This window comes from Homo sapiens, chromosome 6 (genome assembly GCF_000001405.40).
Source record: "Homo sapiens chromosome 6, GRCh38.p14 Primary Assembly".
Classification (NCBI taxonomy): Eukaryota; Metazoa; Chordata; class Mammalia; order Primates; family Hominidae; genus Homo; species Homo sapiens.
In genome coordinates this window covers 10,426,428-10,443,361 of record NC_000006.12, presented here as the reverse complement: position 1 = coordinate 10,443,361, position 16,934 = coordinate 10,426,428, and the positions used below count along the sequence as shown (strand labels likewise).

Below are 16,934 nucleotides of genomic sequence, written 5' to 3'. Positions count from 1 at the left end.
GAGTAGCTGGGATTGGAGGTGCGTGCCACCACACCTGACTATTTTTGTATTTTTAGTAGAGATGGGGTTTCACCATGTTGGCCAGGCTGGTCTCGAACTCTTGACCCCAGGTGATCCACCCACCTCGGCCTCCCAATGTGCTGGGATTACAGGTGTGAGCCACCGCGCCCAGCCGGTTCCTCCCTTTTTTATTGTGTAGTATTTCATTGTCTGAATTTACCACAGTTAGTTTATTCATTCTCCTATTGGTTGTTTTCAGCTTTCAGTTATTTATGAATAAAGCTATGGACATTTTTGAACAAGCCTCTTTGAGGACATATGCTTTTATTTCTCCCGGGTGAGTAACCTAGGTGTGGAATTGCCAGGTCATAATGTAGGTGCAGTCAGCCTTCCCTATCCGTGGGTTCCACATTCATGGACTCAGCAAATATTCATGAATTCAATAAAAAATCAAGGGGTGGGAGGAAAGGATGATCATGTCTGTATGGAATATGTATAGACTTTTTTCTTGTTATTATTTCCTAAACTGTATACAGTATAATTATGCTCACTATCTGAGTGATGGGATCAATTGAACTCCAAACCTCAGCATCATGCAATACACTTATATAACAAACCTGCATATGTACCACCTGAATCTAAAATGAAAGTGGAAATTATTTTTTTAAATACAGTATAACAACTGTTTACATAGTCTTCACCTTGTACTAGGTATTATAAGTAATCTAGAGATGATTTAAAGTATACAGGAGGATGTGTGTGGGTTATATGCAAGTACTACCCTGCTTTATATCAGATTCCTGAGCATCTGTGATTTTGGTACTTGCAGGGAGACCTGGAACCAGTCCCCTGCAGATACTGATGGACAACTGTATATGTTTAGTTTTAAAAGAAATTGTGGGCTGGGCATGGTGGCTCACGTCTGTAATCCTAGCACTTTGGGAAGCCGAGGTGGGCGGATCACTTGAGGTCAGGAGTTTGAAACCAGCCTGGCCAACATGGTGAAACCCTGTCTCTACTAAAAATACCAAAAAATTAGCCGGGAGTAGTGGCAGGCGCCTGTAATCCAAGCTACTCAGGAGGCTGAGGCAGGAGAATTGCTTGAACCTGGGAGGCAGAGATTGCAGCGAGCCAAGATCACGCTACTACACTCCAGCCTGGGGGACAAGAGTGAGACTCTGTCTCACAAAAAAAAAAAAAAAGTAAATTGCAAAATCCTTTTCAAGATGTATTTTTAAATCGATAAAACACTAACTTAGTATACATTTAGATTAAGAAAAACATTACTATATAGGTTGACCAATGTGATATGGTTTGGCTCCGTGTGGCCACACAAATCTCATGCAAATTGTAATTCCTAATGTTGGGGGAGGGACCTGGTGGGAGGTGATTGGCTCATGGGGGAGAATTTCCCCCTTGCTGTCCTCATGATAGTGAGTGAGTTCTCATGAGATCTGGTGGCTTAAAAGTGTGTAGCGCTTCCCCCTTTGCTCTCTCTCCTGTTGCCATGTGAAGATGTGCTTGCTTCCCCTTTGCCCCATGCCGTGACTGCAAGTGTCCTGAGGCCTCCTCAGCTGTGCTTCCTGTACAGTCTACGGAACTGAGTCAATTAAACTTCTCTTCATATATTACCCAGTCTCAGGTATTTTTTTTTTATAGCACTGTGAGAACAGACTAATACATAATGCTAAATGTCTCAACATTCTCTACTCTTTGGGTGAATATTTGCTTACGTAAGCTGTGGAGAGAAGAAAATTAACAAAGCTAGGGAAAGCTCTCTGGGCCACCATCCACTACTAGTGTTGCCTTAATTATTAATCCTACATCATTTTAGAGTTTGTACTTCAATGGCAATGCGTATTCCTCCAGGAATGGAATGCAGTTTCATCAGAACTTTCTCCTGACACGCCTTGTGGCTCTGAGTCACAGACGTTTTTCTTAAAGGGAGTGTCTTTCATCTCAGGGCCTCAAGCTGCCCGTCATTCCCCCATAGTCCAGAGATCCCCCTCCCCTGTGATCACATTCCAGCTTGCACCCTGTCTCCTCACTCCCTTTCCTTCTATTTCCTGCAGCCACTGCTGAACTACCGCATGCCAGCTCTCTGGCTTTCTAGGGTTTGCCATTTCACAAGGCTTAGCCTCAGATTTTATAAGGTTTATTGGTAAATTGCAGAATGAGAGGTTTTATCTTGTGTTACAGGAATTTCAGGCAGAAGCAAGCAGATGGCGTAACAGGCCAGTCCAAGCACAACACAATCCACAGGCCAGGGCTCAAAGCTCATGTTACCTGCCTCTACCAGGCACTGAGCTGACACCCTGGGCACACCTCTCAATCTCCCAGTCTTCCTCTTGCAGGAAAGAAAAGTTAAGCATTCCAGCAAAAGAAACTACCATCAGAGTGAACAAGCAACCTACGAAATGGGAGAAAATTTTTGCAACCTACTCATCTGACAAAGGGCTAATATCCAGAATCTACAATGAACTCAAACAAATTTACAAGAAAAAAATAAACAACCCCATCAAAAAGTGGGCGAAGGATATGAACAGACACTTCTCAAAAGAAGACATTTATGCAGCCAAAAAACACATGAAAAAATGCTCATCATCACTGGCCATCAGAGAAATGCAAATCAAAACCACAATGAGATACCATCTCACACCAGTTAGAATGGTGATCATTAAAAAGTCAGGAAACAACAGGTGCTGGAGAGGATGTGGAGAAATAGGAACACTTTTACACTGTTGGTGGGACCGTAAACTAGTTCAACCATTGTGGAAGTCAGTGTGGCGATTCCTCAGGGATCTAGAACTACAAATACCATTTGACCCAGCCATCCCATTACTGGGTATATACCCAAAGGATTATAAATCATGCTGCTATAAAGACACATGCACACGTAGGTTTATTGCGGCACTATTCACAATAGCAAAGACTTGGAACCAACCCAAATGTCCAACAATGATAGACTGGATTAAGAAAATGTGGCACATATACACCATGGAATACTATGCAGCCATAAAAAATGATGAGTTCATGTCCTTTGTAGGGACATGGATGAAACTGGAAACCATCATCCTCAGCAAACTATCACAAGGACAAAAAACCAAACACCGCATGTTCTCACTCATAGGTGGGAATTGAACAATGAGAACACATGGACACAGGAAGGGGAACATCACACTCCGGGGACTGTTGTGGGGTGGGGGGAGGGGGGAGGGATAGCATTTGGAGATATACCTAATGCTAAATGACGAGTTAATGGGTGCAGCACACCAACATGGCACATGTATACATATGTAACAAACCTGCACATTGCGCACATGTACCCTAAAACTTAAAGTATAATAATAATAAAATAAAAAACAAAATAAATAAATAAATAAACATCTAAAAAAAAGAAAAGTTAAGCATTCCAAAGTGTTCAGCTGATTTGAGCATTTTGTCCAGGACATCTGATTCCAATGTTTGAATGTGTGTGTGTGTGTGTGTGTGTGTGTATGTGTGTATATACATTTAGAGAGGGGGTCTCCCTGTGTTGTCCAGGCTGGCCTTGAACTCCTGAGTTCAAGCGTGGTAGCACACACCTGTAGTCCTAGATACTCACCCTCCTGAGTATCTAGGACTACAGGTGTATGCTACCACGCTGGAATTAAATGTGTATTTTGCATTTGTAAATTTATTGACATAAGTGACAGAGTCCAGGCATATAATAAAACTGGTGACTCTGAAGAACAAATATTTCATTTTCTTCCATTTTCTCTCGGTTCTTGCAAACTTTCCTGAAATCTTGTCTCAGCTGAGAAACATGTTCTCACCATATAGTCATGTGAAGGGTGAAACTCATCTTCCCAGTGGTCATAATGAACACAGCTCATATTGTCCAGGTCTTTTCTTCCACTAGAGGGATTTTAACTGCCCTCCACTTTATTCTCCCAATAAACTTTTAGTTAAAAAGCTTAAATGTGGCCAGGTAATGTGGCTCATGCCTGTAATCCTAGTACTTTGGGAGGCCGAGGAGGGTGGATTACCTGAGGTCAGGAGTTCGAGACCAGCCTGGCCAACACGTCGAAATCCTGACTCTACTAAAAATACAAAAATTAGCCATGCATGGTGGTGCACGCCTTTAATCCCAGCTACTCGGGAGGCTGAGGCAGAAGAATCGCTTGAACCTGGGAGGTGGAGGTTGCAGTGAGCCAAGATCACGCCATTGCACTCCAGCCTGAGAGACAGAACAAGACTCCATCTCAAAAAAAAAAAAAAAAAAAGCTTAAATGTTCTCACCACACACACATAGAAATGGTAACTGTGTGAGGTGATGGATGTGTGAATTTGAATTAGCTTGATTATGGTATCTCACCTCACAAGATAGACATATATCAAAACATTGCATTGTACACATTTTAGTTGTATATATATAGTTGCATATACATATCTATACATATCTTTTAGTTGTATATATTCAAGCTACAGGGGAGGGAAACTTTTAGCCACAAAGCAGATCCAGTTGGAAAATCTTAACATCAAATGCTAGTTTTTGCATGTAATTTTTTTCTTTAAAAAATACATGGCCATAATATAAAATTCAAAAGGCAAAATGGTAAGTTGCAAAGCTTGTCTCTCTTCCTTTCCCCTAGTCATCAGATCTTCCCAAAGACACCTATACATACTGTTACTAGGTACTTGTGTATTTCTAGACATCCCAAACTTTTCTTAACATATACAGATTATATATTCTCCTCATCACATAAATGTTAGCATACTATGAAAGAGACAGCAAGTCGCCTGTCTCAACATCCATTCTCCCACTTTCTTTCTTTGTTGATATGGGGTTTTGCTCTGCCACCCAGGCTGGAGTGCAGTGGCATGAACAAAGGCTCAGCACAGCCTTGACCTCTTGCCTCAGCCTCCTGAGTAGCTGGGACTACAGGCACGCACCATCTGGCTAATTTTTAAATTTTTGTAGAGACAGAGTTTCACCATGTTGCCCAGACTGGTCTCAAACTCCTGGGCCTAAGGGATCCTTTCACCTTGGCCTCTCAAAGTGATGGGATTACAGGAGTGAGCCACTGGCGTCTGATCTCCTCACTCTTTTTATAACAGCCGTCCAAATGTATTTGAAGCCACTCATTGCTGTCCAGCAAAAAACTGCATTTCTCAGCCTTTCTGTTAGCTAATAATGCAGGCTATGTAACTAAGTTTTCGATACTGGAGTGGAAGATACTAGAATGTAACATTTGTCAGATCTTTTGCCTTTCTGCTGGCTGGGATGTGGACGTGATGACTGGAGCTTAAGCAGCTTTCTTGGACTGTAAAACAGCCCACTTGGGATGGCAGAGCAACAAGATGGAGGAAATTAGGTCCTGAGAATGATGGAGTTCCCTTATAAGCCATGGCCCTGTCCATATCTGTTTTGTTGTTGTTGTTTTTTAGCAGTTGAAACAGCTTAAACACCATAACAAGCTCACTGTTACTTGCAGCAAAATACAATTCCTTTTTTAAACATACGTAATTTTTATTTGTCAGTTATACCTTAATGAAAAATGTAATAGTCAAAACAAATGATATATTTGGAAATTTTTAAATATACACTTATAAGTAAAGCCATGGATCAAAAAATAAGTCACACTGAAAACTAGAAAACATTTTGAATTGACAATTGTGAAAATGCCACATGCCAAATATTGTGGCATTTCACAAAATCTACTTTGAGTGAAATGTATAGCGCAAAAGCCTATAAATGCTGACATTTAAGAAGTGGGAAAACATTTTTTTTAATTAGCTAGTCATCCAAATTAGAATTAGAAAACAACAGCAAAATAAATTCAAAGATCAAAAATGAAAAATTAATGTAAGAGCAGAAGTAAATAAATACAACTAAAATTTATAATATAGAGCATTACAAAGACAAGCAGTTCTTTAAAAAGCCTAACACAATTGAAAAACCTGTAAGCAAGAGTGAAAAAGTGAAAAAAGAAAGGACACAAATAAACTATATTAAGAATGTAAGGGGGCTCGGCCCAGTGGCTCATGCCTGTAATCCCAGCATTTTGGGAGGCCAAGGCAGGAAGATCACTGGAGGTCAGGAGCTTGAGGCCAGCCTGGCCAACATGGTGAAAACCCATCTCTACTAAAATTATAAAAAAAATTAGCTGGGCGTGGTGGCATATGCCTACAGTCCTAGCTACTCGGGAAGCTGAGGCAGGAGAATGGCTTGAACCTGGGAGGCGGAGGTTGCAGTGAGCCACGATCAAGCCACTGCACTCCAGCCTGGGCCACAGAGGGAGACTCTGCTTCAAAAAACAACAAAGACAACAACAACAAAACAACAACAACAAAGAATGTAAGAGGGGCCAGGCGGGCTGGCTCACACCTGTAGTTCCAACGCTTTGGGAGGCTGAGGCAGAAGGATCACTTGAGCCCAGGAGTTTGAAACTGGTCTAGGCAACATAGTGAGACACTGTCTCTCCAAAAAAAAAAAAAGTAAGAGGGGACATAAATGTAGAAGCTGTAGACATGAAAGAGATAATAAAATTTTTCTATTTACAGGCAGTTTTATAAAAATGAATTACAAAATATAGATGAGATATGTTCTATTAAACATATAAGGTATGGTATACTACAGTAAAACACAATTCTTAACACATGTGTATACCATACCTAGTGCACTACACCTTGCTTTCTTCCTTAACAATATGTCTTGGAAATGAATCTGTAGAGTACATAGAGAACTGCCTCATTCCTTGTAATGACTGAATGTTATTCCTTTATACGACTGACCCATCATTTATTTAAATGTGTCTTATTGATAGCATTTAGACTGTTTCCAGTCTTTGCTATTATTAAAAAAGTCACGATATATAAACCCATCATTTCGCACACTTGCAACTCCATCTGTAGGATAAATTCCAACAAGTGGAGTCGCTAGGTTCAAAGGTGTGCTCATATTTATTTGGATCGATTTCACAAAGAAGCTATACCATATTACACTACTCCCATCAAAGTATAAGAATGCCTACTGCGGCCGGGCGCGGTGGCTCATGCCTGTAATCCCAGCACTTTGGGAGGCCGAGGCGGGCGGATCACGAGGTCAGGAGATGGAAACCATCCTGGCTAACACAGTGAAACCCTGTCTCTACTAAAAATACAAAAAAATTAGCCGGGCGCGGTGGCGAGTGGGCGACGGAGCGAGATTCCGTCTCAAAAAAAAAAAAAGAATGCCTATGGAGTCTCCTAAGAACAGCATCATCAAGGCCACCACATTCCAATATCTGTTGCACTTCTCTCATAAAGCTGAGCACCTTTTTCTTGCTGCATAGCCTTGTAACCAACTCTATTATAATAGAACTTGTTCCTCATCATCAGCAAGTGAGCATTTGCTAGCTTCAGATCTGAAACTTTCATTTTCCACTAGTAGGCTTCCGAAAGCAACCCTCTTGGTTCACGGATTAGGTGAGCCAGAACGCCAAATAACTTATAATTGAGAAATAAAAATAAAACTAATGCGAATGAGAATTTGTCTCCAAAAGTAGAAATTTTTCCATCAATGTCTCTCTTTCCACAACTTGCATTTGTGAAATTTAGAATGAATGTCGCAAGTAGGAAAAGACTCATTCTGTCATAGTAGAATCTTTGTGTATTTCTTAGAATACTTATTGTAGGTTTAAATTGAAAACAAAATCATCCAATTTTACACTTATTAGGGAAGAAAATAATCACAGCAACATATAAGATGTTGACAAAGGGCCGGGCGCGGTGGCTCACGCCTGTAATTCCAGCACTTTGGGAGGCCGAGGTGGGTGGATCACGAGGTCAGGAGTTCGAAACCAGCCTGACCAACATGGTGAAACTCCGTCTCTACTAAAAATACAAAAATTAGCCGGGCGTGGTGGCGCGTGCCTGTAATTCCAGCTACTCAGGAGGCCAAGGCAGGAGAATCGCTTGAACCTAGGAGGCGGAGGTTGCAGTGAGCCGAGATCGCGCCACCACACTCCAGCCTGGGTAACAGAGCAAGGCTCCGTCTCAGAAAAAAAGAAAGAAAGAAAGAAAGAAAAGATATTGACAAAGAATGAGTAAAGTCCAACACATGAGCTTTGACCAAAATTCCAACAGATGGCAGTATTGGCCAACTTTTTCCTTAAAAACGTAGGTGTTTTTTTTTTTTTCCAAGATGCTAATTAAACCTTGTTAGACGCGATAGATATATTTTCTGTAATTCCTCAATGAGAATTCGTATGTGTAGTTTATTATACGTTGTGCTCTATATTGTAAAAAATAACAAAAACCCTGAAGTGGTAATATCGTAGGCAATAATAATGGAATAACCGAGGTATGAATGAACAGTTTTGAGCACTAAAACACACTAAGGGCTTTGTTATGGACTGAAATGTGTCCTCTCCCCAGAGTCACAGGATTATGAAGCCATAATCCTCAATGTGACTATATTTGGAGCAGGGGCCTTTACAGACATAATTAAATTAAATGAGGTCATAAGAGTGGGGCCCTAGTCTGATAGGACTGGTGTCCTTACAAGAAGAGGGAGAGTCCTCAGAGAGTCCTCTCTCTCGGCATGGACACAAAAGAAAAGCCATGTGAGGACACAGAGAGAAGGTGGCTGTCTACGAGCTAGGAAGAAAGGCCTCACCGGAAACCAACCCTCACAGCAGCTCCATCTTGGACTTCCAGCCTCCGGAACTGTGAGAAAATAAATGTTTGCAATTCAGGTCGGTTGTATTTTGTGAAGGCCATCCTAGCAAATGAATACTCCTAACATTGTCTCTTTAAGAGCTCACCAGCCTGAGGTAGGAATCATTCCATCTGTGTTACTAATGAGACCGCTGAGGATCAAAGGGGTGAGTAAATTGCTTAGCAGTGCCTAGGTTTTATGTAGTGAATTTGGCTAAAATGGTAGAGCTCCCTGATTCTAACCTCCCTGCAGGTTTTCCACCACATCCACTCACCTCTACATGGCGAAAACCAAGGGTTCACTCTCTGTCTTCAGGGAGCTCCACCCAGCAGCAGCGTTTGACAGAGCTGTTCACTTCCTCTTCCTGGAGCTGTGGCTTCCAGAGCCCATGCTCAGCAGTTCCCCTCCTTCTTCGACTGCTCCTCTCTTAGGTGAGTTTTGTTGGTGTCCTTCATTTCCCTGACTCTAAACATTGGAGACCTCCACGTCCAGTCTTGGGCCTCTTCCCTGTTCATCCACAAGCACTCCCTAGGTGACCTCAGCCGTGCTTATGGTTGTTGGCCACAGCGTCCAAATTGACTTTGCTGCCTCCACACTTGTCCCCCTGCCCTGACCGAGCAGCCAAGGTGACTCTGTTAAGATACGAAGCAGATCACGCCATTGCTTGACTCAAGCCCCTCCAAAGTTTCTGCTCTCAGAGGAAAAGCTAAGGTCTTTTTTTTTTTTGAGATGGAGTTTCACTCTTGTTGCCCAGACTGCAGTGCAGTGGTGTGATCTTGGCTCACTGCAACCTCCACTTCCCGGGTTCAAGCGATTCTCTTGCCTCAGCCTCCCAAGTAGCTGGGATTACAGGTGCACGCCACCACGCCCGGCTAATTTTTGTATTTTTAGTAGAGATGGGGTTTCCCCATGTTGGCCAGGCTGGTCTCGAACTCTTGACCTCAGGTGATCCACCTGCCTCGGCTTCCCAATGTGCTGGGATTACAGGCATGAGCCACAGTGCCCAGCCAAGCTAAGGTCTTTATAATGTCTCCCTTCGGTACCAACAGCTCCATCCCCCAACTCCCTTCAATTCTCAATTTCTCTTTGGCGTCCTCTGTAGCTCCTCTGTCCTTAGCTCACTCATGCCTACCACACAAGCCAGCCATGCTTCTGCCTCAGGGCCTTTGCACTCACTGGTTTCTCTGCCTGGAATGTTTCTCTGGTAATGCAGATGCCACCATATCCTTGGAGACATCCTTATCTCAACTGCAAACCACCCTCCCTCTCAGCACTACCTAACGTCTTTGTTTATGTTTTTCCTTCAGCCCATACCATTCATTATCTACCATACTATATATTTTACTTACCTTGTTTATTTTCTCTCCTCTGGAATACAAAGTCCACAAGGGCAGAGATTTTTGTCTTTTGTTTTCATGGTTCTAGGCTCAAAACCTGTAACAATGCATGGCACACGGAAGATGTGAGAATTTGCTGAATAACTGAATGGCACCATGTTGCCTCACCTAAGGATAATGACTAAGAATAGGAAAAATTTACTGTGCAAAGATCAGTTCTTAATAGCTGTCTACATCTCAGAACAAAAAAAATTAGATGTAAACCATTGCACAAAGGATTAGATGAAATTTTTTTGAAAAATCAGACATTGGAGGTAAGTATTGCCATAAGCCATATAAGCAAAACAATCAAATCTCTGGAGACACTGGAAAATAAGATTGATTGTAAATTTGCTGCTGACGTTTACCATTGCTCTGCATAAATGCAAAAGGAAGCGCTGGCCAACTTCTCATGGGTTTCCAAGTCCAGGTGTCTAAAATTTGGCAGAGCTGGGAGGACTGCTTGAGGCCAGTGGTGCAAAATAAGCCTGGGCAACATAGTGAGATTCTGCCTCTAAAACAAAACAAAATAAAAGACAAAACAACTAATTCTGTTTTTTAAAAAAAAAAAACACACAACAGCAAACTTGACTATAAAGATTATTGCTGGGCACGGTGGCTCAGGCCTGTAATCCCAGCACTTTGGGAGGCTGAGGCGGGTGGATCACCTGAGGTCAGGAGCTCAAGACCAGCCTGGCCAACATGGTGAAACCCTGTCTGTACTAATAATACAAAAAATTAGCCGGGCATGGTGGTGCATGCCTGCAATCCCAGCTACTCGGGAGGATGAGGCAGGAGAATCACTTGAACCTGGGAGGTAGAGGTTGCAGTGAGCCGAGACTGCGCCACTGCACTCCAGCCTGGGCAACAAGAGCAAAACTCCGTGTCCAAAAAAAAAAAAAAAAAAAAAGATTATTATATATAATCATTCAAGGCCTGTATGACTCAGTTCCCTTAGAAAAATGTCATAATTTTTATATTACTGAATATTATTGGCGTTATTTGTGTAGCCCACTTAAGTGAAGTCAATAACATGATTAAGTGGCATATTATCTTCATGTCAGTCAAACGTTATTTGGATTTTATAAGTTAGGGTGAGATACAAATAAGTGAAAATACTTTTTCTAATGAATAATGATGAATCTAAAATAGGATTGACTTGGCTGGGCATAGTGGCTCGTGCTTGTAACCCCAACACTTTGGGAGGCTGAGGCAGTAGGATTACTTGAAACCAGGAGTTTGAGACCAGCCTCGGCAACAAAGGGAGAACTCTTCTCTAATAAAAATAAGAATAAAAAATTAGCCAGGTGTGGCAATGTTCACCTGTGGTCCCAGCTACTTGGGAAGCTGAGGCAGGAGGATCGTTGGAGCACAGGAGTTCAAGACTGCAGTTAGCGGTGACTGCACTCCAGCCTGGGCAATAGAGCAAGACCCTGTCTCTAAAAAAAAAATAATAATAAATAGGACTGGCTCGCATATGTATGCAACTATTTTGTTACCAGTGACAGAATACATGTGATGATGTTTTCTAGTCTTGTGACTGGTTTCTTAGTTGTATGTTTTATTTTTAGAATTGTTGTTTCCAGGCTGTGTTGTTTGGAAACTCAGCTGACAGATGTATGAATCTGATTCCAGAGTCTCTGAGAGCTGGAAAGGGCCTCAGAGATGGTTGGGACTGATACTCTTGCATTACAGGTCAGGAAATACAACCCAGAGACAAGATGAAACTTGCCCAAGGACATAACAGCCAGCCTGTGGCTAGGCTGATACCAGATTCCTGTTCTTCCCATTCCAGTCGCATGCTACTCAGGAAACTCATCAGCATTCCCGAATATTGAGTGTTTCCTACCTGTTACATTAGCAGTTTTTGAGAAGGGTATATATTGTAGTTAAATTAATCAGCTTTGGGAAAATATGGGTGCAGCATGGGAATAGAGACTGTCATTTGAGAATCATTGCAGAAATGACAAAACCCTGAGAATGAAGAATGGGCCTGCAATAGTCCTGGCACTTTGCTCTTCCACCAAACTGAACTGTAGCTCAAAGGACAATGACTTCACGTCTGTCACTCTAAAGCCTGTTCTAAGATCACATCCCCTCTGGCTCTCCCTAGATACTTCTGATTATAGTTGGTAATCATGCCCATTAAATGTCTTTGGTTTCTTGGTACACAGAGAGAAGGTAAATAATGGGTTCATGATTTAGGTAAGAATACACAAATATTTTTCACACTATAAATCTGTTTTCTATTCAGTTAAATATTAGACCATCTGGTAATGGAGAAAATGTTTGAAAATCCACCTAGTTAACCTAAAAGTTTGCATTTCCTGCCTTTGGGGCTTTGAATTTTTAAGTTACATGTCTTCGTAGATGGTGATCAGGATAAAACTAATATCTCTCTTAGATGAATCAAAATTCACCCCCTTGGGCAAGGGAGGGACCCAGCCTTTCTTTAAACATGTGGTTGCCTGAGAGTTGAACAAAACTGGAATAGGGAGAGAATGGCTTTGCCATGCTGATCATGGTATTGTGGAGATTTAAGAACTAGTGGCCAGGCGAGGTGGCTCACGCCTGTAATCCCAGCATTGTGAGAGGCCAAGGCAGGTGGATCACTTGAGGCCAGGATTTCGAGACCAGCCCGGCCAACATGATGACCCTGTTTTTACTAAAAATACAAAAATTAGCCGAGTGTGGTGGTGTGTGCCTGTAGTCCCAACTGAGGCATGAGACTTGCTTCAACCCAGGAGGCGGGGGTTGCAGTGAGCCGAGATTGTGCCACTGCACTCCAGCCTGGGTGACAGAGTGAGACTCTGTCTCAAAAAAAAAAAAAAAAAAAACTAGTCAGAGCTGTTGAGGTGTTGAGGCACCTGCTACTGATACACACTATAAACGTGGAAGATGATTTTCATTTTTGTAGTCATGAGCAGGATACTGTATAATGTATAATTGTTGGACATTAAAGAAAACAAACTCCTTCTTGTCTCCTTAGGCTCAGAGCCACTCAGACATTGGGAAGCAAGTTTGTCAAGATGACAGAGAACCGAGGTAATGGATTCGAGTGATGAAACAGGAAGTTCATTCATGAGTTTTTGGCCACACCTCCAAAGTGACGACTTAGCCAGAAATGGGATAACTGGGTTTCCCTACTTCTCTTTTATCATCCTCAATGAGAGTGACCAAATATTAGAGCTAGATGGAACCTTAGTGAAAATCTGGCTACTCGTCCCGTCCCACCAGCCTGCCACCCATTTCAAGTTTGAAGAGACAAAGACACATGGACCTTATGTAATTACTGGGGATTACCCCAGGAGTCTGTGGCAAAAGTCAGCTTCTTCCCTCCCTGCTTCCCCGCCCTGTCTCTGGTACTTTCTACCAACACTGGGCTGTTTCTGTGATCACACTTAAGCGTACCTAACCTGCGAATGCTGTATAGAAGGTGCTAATGAACATGATTTAGCTTTAACACTCAGTTTTCTAAAGGGACACGTGGGGGCAGCAAATGTTTAGGCAAAAACAATTCCAGTTCTAGCCTCTACTGTCTACATATGTGTATACATTTGGGAAACGTTTGGGAAAGGGATATTTGAGAGCTTCTTTTTCTTTTTTGTGGTTTAGTTATTTGATGATATTGAGATTGTTTCTGAGCCATGTGCTTCAACATCGGATTGGGGATTTCAGAAAAAGTTTTAGTCACTGTGATTCCATTTAGCTTCCAAATGTGTCTCTGCTAAGAGACTTAAAAGCACTCATAAATAGCACGTGTGTCTTCTTTGCAGTGTTTGCTAATTTTGAGTCACATCTTTTTAGAAAATCATGAGATTTGGTGTCACAGAGACTGGAATAAATATAGTCAAACTTATTGGTGAAGATTTCCTTTAGCTGTTTTCATAATCCATTTCCATTGTTATGATTATTGATGAATAAAACATTTTCTTTAGGTAGATACTTCTTTTTTCCCCCCACCTTGATTTAATGTTTCCACTCTTATTGTCAAGTTTCTTATTACTCCCTAATAACTCTCAATAAAATAATGATTCCTGGGAGATTATTCCTGCTTTCCTACTATCACCTGTTGATTTGAAAAGACAGAACAATACCGTAGAAGCTTCACTAATACATTGAAAGATAAAATGATAATACTAAATACTAAAATATGAAAAGTGATACTAAAAGTGGAGTCCTGGCACTAGTATTTTTTTTTTTGAGTCTTTAAATTTTATTTATTTATTTTTGAATTTTTTAAAATTATATGTTATGTTCTGGGATACATGTGCAGAACGTGCAGGTTTGTTACATAGGTATACAGGTCTGGCACTAGTATTTTGTTGCCACAAAATATCAAGCATGTATCCAAACTGCTCAAGACACATTAAAGACACAGGTAATCTGTAGGCATATTCAGGCTTGTAGTTTGCATTTTTTGGTTTTCTTGTGGCTTTCAGTGCAAGTTGAGGTAATTCATGGGAAACAGTCACCAAAGAAGTGCCAGTATTAGAAATCCAAGAGCCATTTCTCTAGCTTCTTCCAGAATCAAGACTTTAGAGGTAATTTCTATCAACACTGGACATTTCCTGTCTGCAATTAACAATGAACACATAGCATTATGTTTAATTGCAACCTGTTTAAAGCAGATTGGATGCTAAGGTTTAAGAACACTCTTCAGTCAAAAAGGTCTTTTAATCAGGTTTTTAATCTTGAGCACAATCTAGGACACAGCATCATAGACTAACTCATTCGAGAATAGGTGTTGTCATCTAATCCTAACCACCCCCACCACCAACAAGCTGAATAGCTCTGGGCTCAGTATATACATTTGTACTGGGCTCAGTACACACACCTAAGCTGGGTTCAGTATATGCCACTTTATAGTGAGAGGCATTTTGTAATGAGAGCTCTGGGTTCACTATATACATTTGTACTGGGCTCAGTACACACATCTAAGCTGGGTTCAGTATATGCCACTTTATAGTGAGGGCCATTTTGTAATGAGAGCTCTAAGGCTCTAAAATTCTGTGTTTCTGCTAGTTTCTTCCTCAAGATAAAACTGTGGAACTCATAGTGAATTCCCTCTCTTTGGGCAGTTTGAGCCAGGCCGCTATTTAATCACAACATCACAAGTCAGATTTTTCCTACCTAGTGTTGGCAGTGGAACACACCAGAACTGCTAAGGCCAAGGAAATCCCATTTTTTGAAGAGGCTTTCCTTTGTTAGCTTCTCTTTCTAGTAGTAAAGGTAAAAGAAAAATAGATGTTAAAGATATAAATATCTTAGGGGGTTTTTATTGGTATAAATATTTGTACACAAAAAGAATATGTAATGTAAACTGGATATGTATTTTTTACATTTTACTTAACCTGAATTTTACACAATCTTTGCTTGAATGCTCCAACAATGAAAGGAGAAAATATGTATTTAAACAATTTTTAAGTATTTATTCTTTATTCAGGACACTTGAGTTTCATTCAAGCTATAGTTTTAAAATGTAAAAATGCTGAGAAATTAAAAGCAGTCAAATGCTTTTGTCTGAGTCTTTGTTCAAGGAAGTATCTTAGACAACTTTGCCTTAAAAGTTCTTGAGGCAAATGAAAACCAGTTTTTCAGAATTAGAAAGACCACAATTAACTTAGTATCCTATAACTTTGGTGTTTTAAAAAGTAATTCTCAAAGGGGTGAGTCAAGTCAGAAAGAGAACTGTGTGTGTAAATTGTCAGGTTTTGACGTTTGTTTCCAGCCATTTCCAGAGAGAAAACTTCATTTTTATTCTTCTCAGCAGCACATTTCAAAGGAAAATTGTACAATTCTTATATTCACAATATCACAGCTAAAATTATCTAGTATAAAGACTCTACGATTTACATCGTAAGATTCAGAAAGAGCACATTTTGAGTTTGAAAACAAATGAAGTGATATGTGCTACGTCAATTTTTTTAAAAAAACCTCATATACTTGATCAGGCCTTATTAAATTGTCAACTTAAGTTTCTAATGCAACTTCCTGTGTTGACATAAATACAGAAAAAACAATACCATTTGAAGAGTGCCTCCCCAGGGTTCCAGAGCCTGGAACAATTTAATAAAACAATTAAGTACTGTGTTATTGGGGGTGGGGGGGGGGGAGGAATGAGCTTTTAAAACCAAACCAAAACAAAACCAAACCTCTCCAGACTGAGAATCTTTGAGTTTTGAACATGTGATTGGAAATCCAGAGGTAGCCTGCCTGTCATTTTGAGATCCTTGATAAGTAACCTTGCACAGCCTCAAGAGACTCATGGGCACGGCACTTTTACTGGAGAGCTCTCTTTTCAGCAACACGTGCAAAAGTGGTAAGGTTCCATTATTAAGACATTGCCAGCGATTAAAACATGGAAATCTGACAAGTTTTAACAGCAATCGAAGTGTATTCTTTTCAAGTGTGTGGTTTTGAGAAAAAGCAGTGGAGTCTGGAGTCTGCAGGTCCCGTCGGGCACATCAAGAGGATGTGCTTCCTTTAGGAAGGCAGGAAAGGCAAAGAGAGTGTCTCCACTTTAAAAAACATGGCCTTACCTCATATTGCAAAATTAAAGTGACAAATCCTGGAGAAAATCTCAGAGCACGCATTACAACCAGTCCCGCCATTAGTCAACTAAGACAAACTGAAAGTAAACGGAGCCTTGTCCGAGTCTATCCGCGACCCTGGGCCCCTCCAGGCAGTGGGAAAACCGGGCGGACACTTCCGGGCCTGCACAAAGGGAACCAGGACCGAGCCCTGGAGACTAGCTGGGGCTTTGCGTGGCAGAAAGTTTCGAGGCTTCCGGCCCAGACTTTCAGGAGACTTGCATCCATTTAGGAGACTCTCTGTCTCCACCAGCCTCTAAATTCTGAATGGGAATAAACTCA

At 41.2% G+C, this 16,934-nt stretch overlaps 3 long non-coding RNA genes and 1 other non-coding gene across 4 annotated transcripts in view, besides 3 other annotated features; 1 reads left to right on the top strand and 3 right to left on the bottom strand.

Moving 5' to 3' along the window:
* Nucleotides 1–9,033, bottom strand: part of MIR5689HG (MIR5689 host gene) — a 22,453-nt gene extending 13,420 nt beyond the window's left edge. Inside the window, exon 1 of the long non-coding RNA NR_132993.1 lies at nt 8,958–9,033. This is a non-coding gene — a long non-coding RNA (MIR5689 host gene). The remainder of the gene's footprint in view (nt 1–8,957) is intronic.
* Nucleotides 1,626–2,126: an enhancer, noted in NCBI's record as "H3K4me1 hESC enhancer chr6:10441469-10441969 (GRCh37/hg19 assembly coordinates)". NCBI's record gives its function as "activates a minimal SCP1, AML or CMV promoter by ChIP-STARR-seq in primed H9 embryonic stem cells {active_cell/tissue: H9 hESC(primed)}" and the evidence as "EXISTENCE:reporter gene assay evidence [ECO:0000049][PMID:30033119]".
* Nucleotides 2,127–2,627: an enhancer, noted in NCBI's record as "H3K4me1 hESC enhancer chr6:10440968-10441468 (GRCh37/hg19 assembly coordinates)". NCBI's record gives its function as "activates a minimal SCP1, AML or CMV promoter by ChIP-STARR-seq in primed H9 embryonic stem cells {active_cell/tissue: H9 hESC(primed)}" and the evidence as "EXISTENCE:reporter gene assay evidence [ECO:0000049][PMID:30033119]".
* Nucleotides 3,568–3,645, bottom strand: MIR5689 (microRNA 5689). Its single transcript, NR_049872.1, has one exon. It is a non-coding gene; the product is annotated as a microRNA 5689 (primary transcript).
* Nucleotides 8,490–9,689: an enhancer, noted in NCBI's record as "MED14-independent group 3 enhancer chr6:10433906-10435105 (GRCh37/hg19 assembly coordinates)". NCBI's record gives its function as "activates an origin of replication core promoter dependent on BRD2, BRD4, P300/CBP and CDK7 cofactors, and independent of MED14, by STARR-seq in HCT116 cells {active_cell/tissue: HCT116}" and the evidence as "EXISTENCE:reporter gene assay evidence [ECO:0000049][PMID:35650434]".
* Nucleotides 8,540–15,577, top strand: LINC00518 (long intergenic non-protein coding RNA 518). The gene is made up of 3 exons (NR_027793.1): nt 8,540–8,849; nt 8,936–9,114; nt 13,049–15,577. It is a non-coding gene; the product is annotated as a long intergenic non-protein coding RNA 518 (long non-coding RNA).
* Nucleotides 15,081–16,934, bottom strand: LOC107986564 (uncharacterized). Its single transcript, XR_001743960.1, has 2 exons — nt 16,602–16,934; nt 15,081–15,279 (listed from the first exon to the last, which is right to left on the bottom strand). It is a non-coding gene; the product is annotated as an uncharacterized LOC107986564 (long non-coding RNA).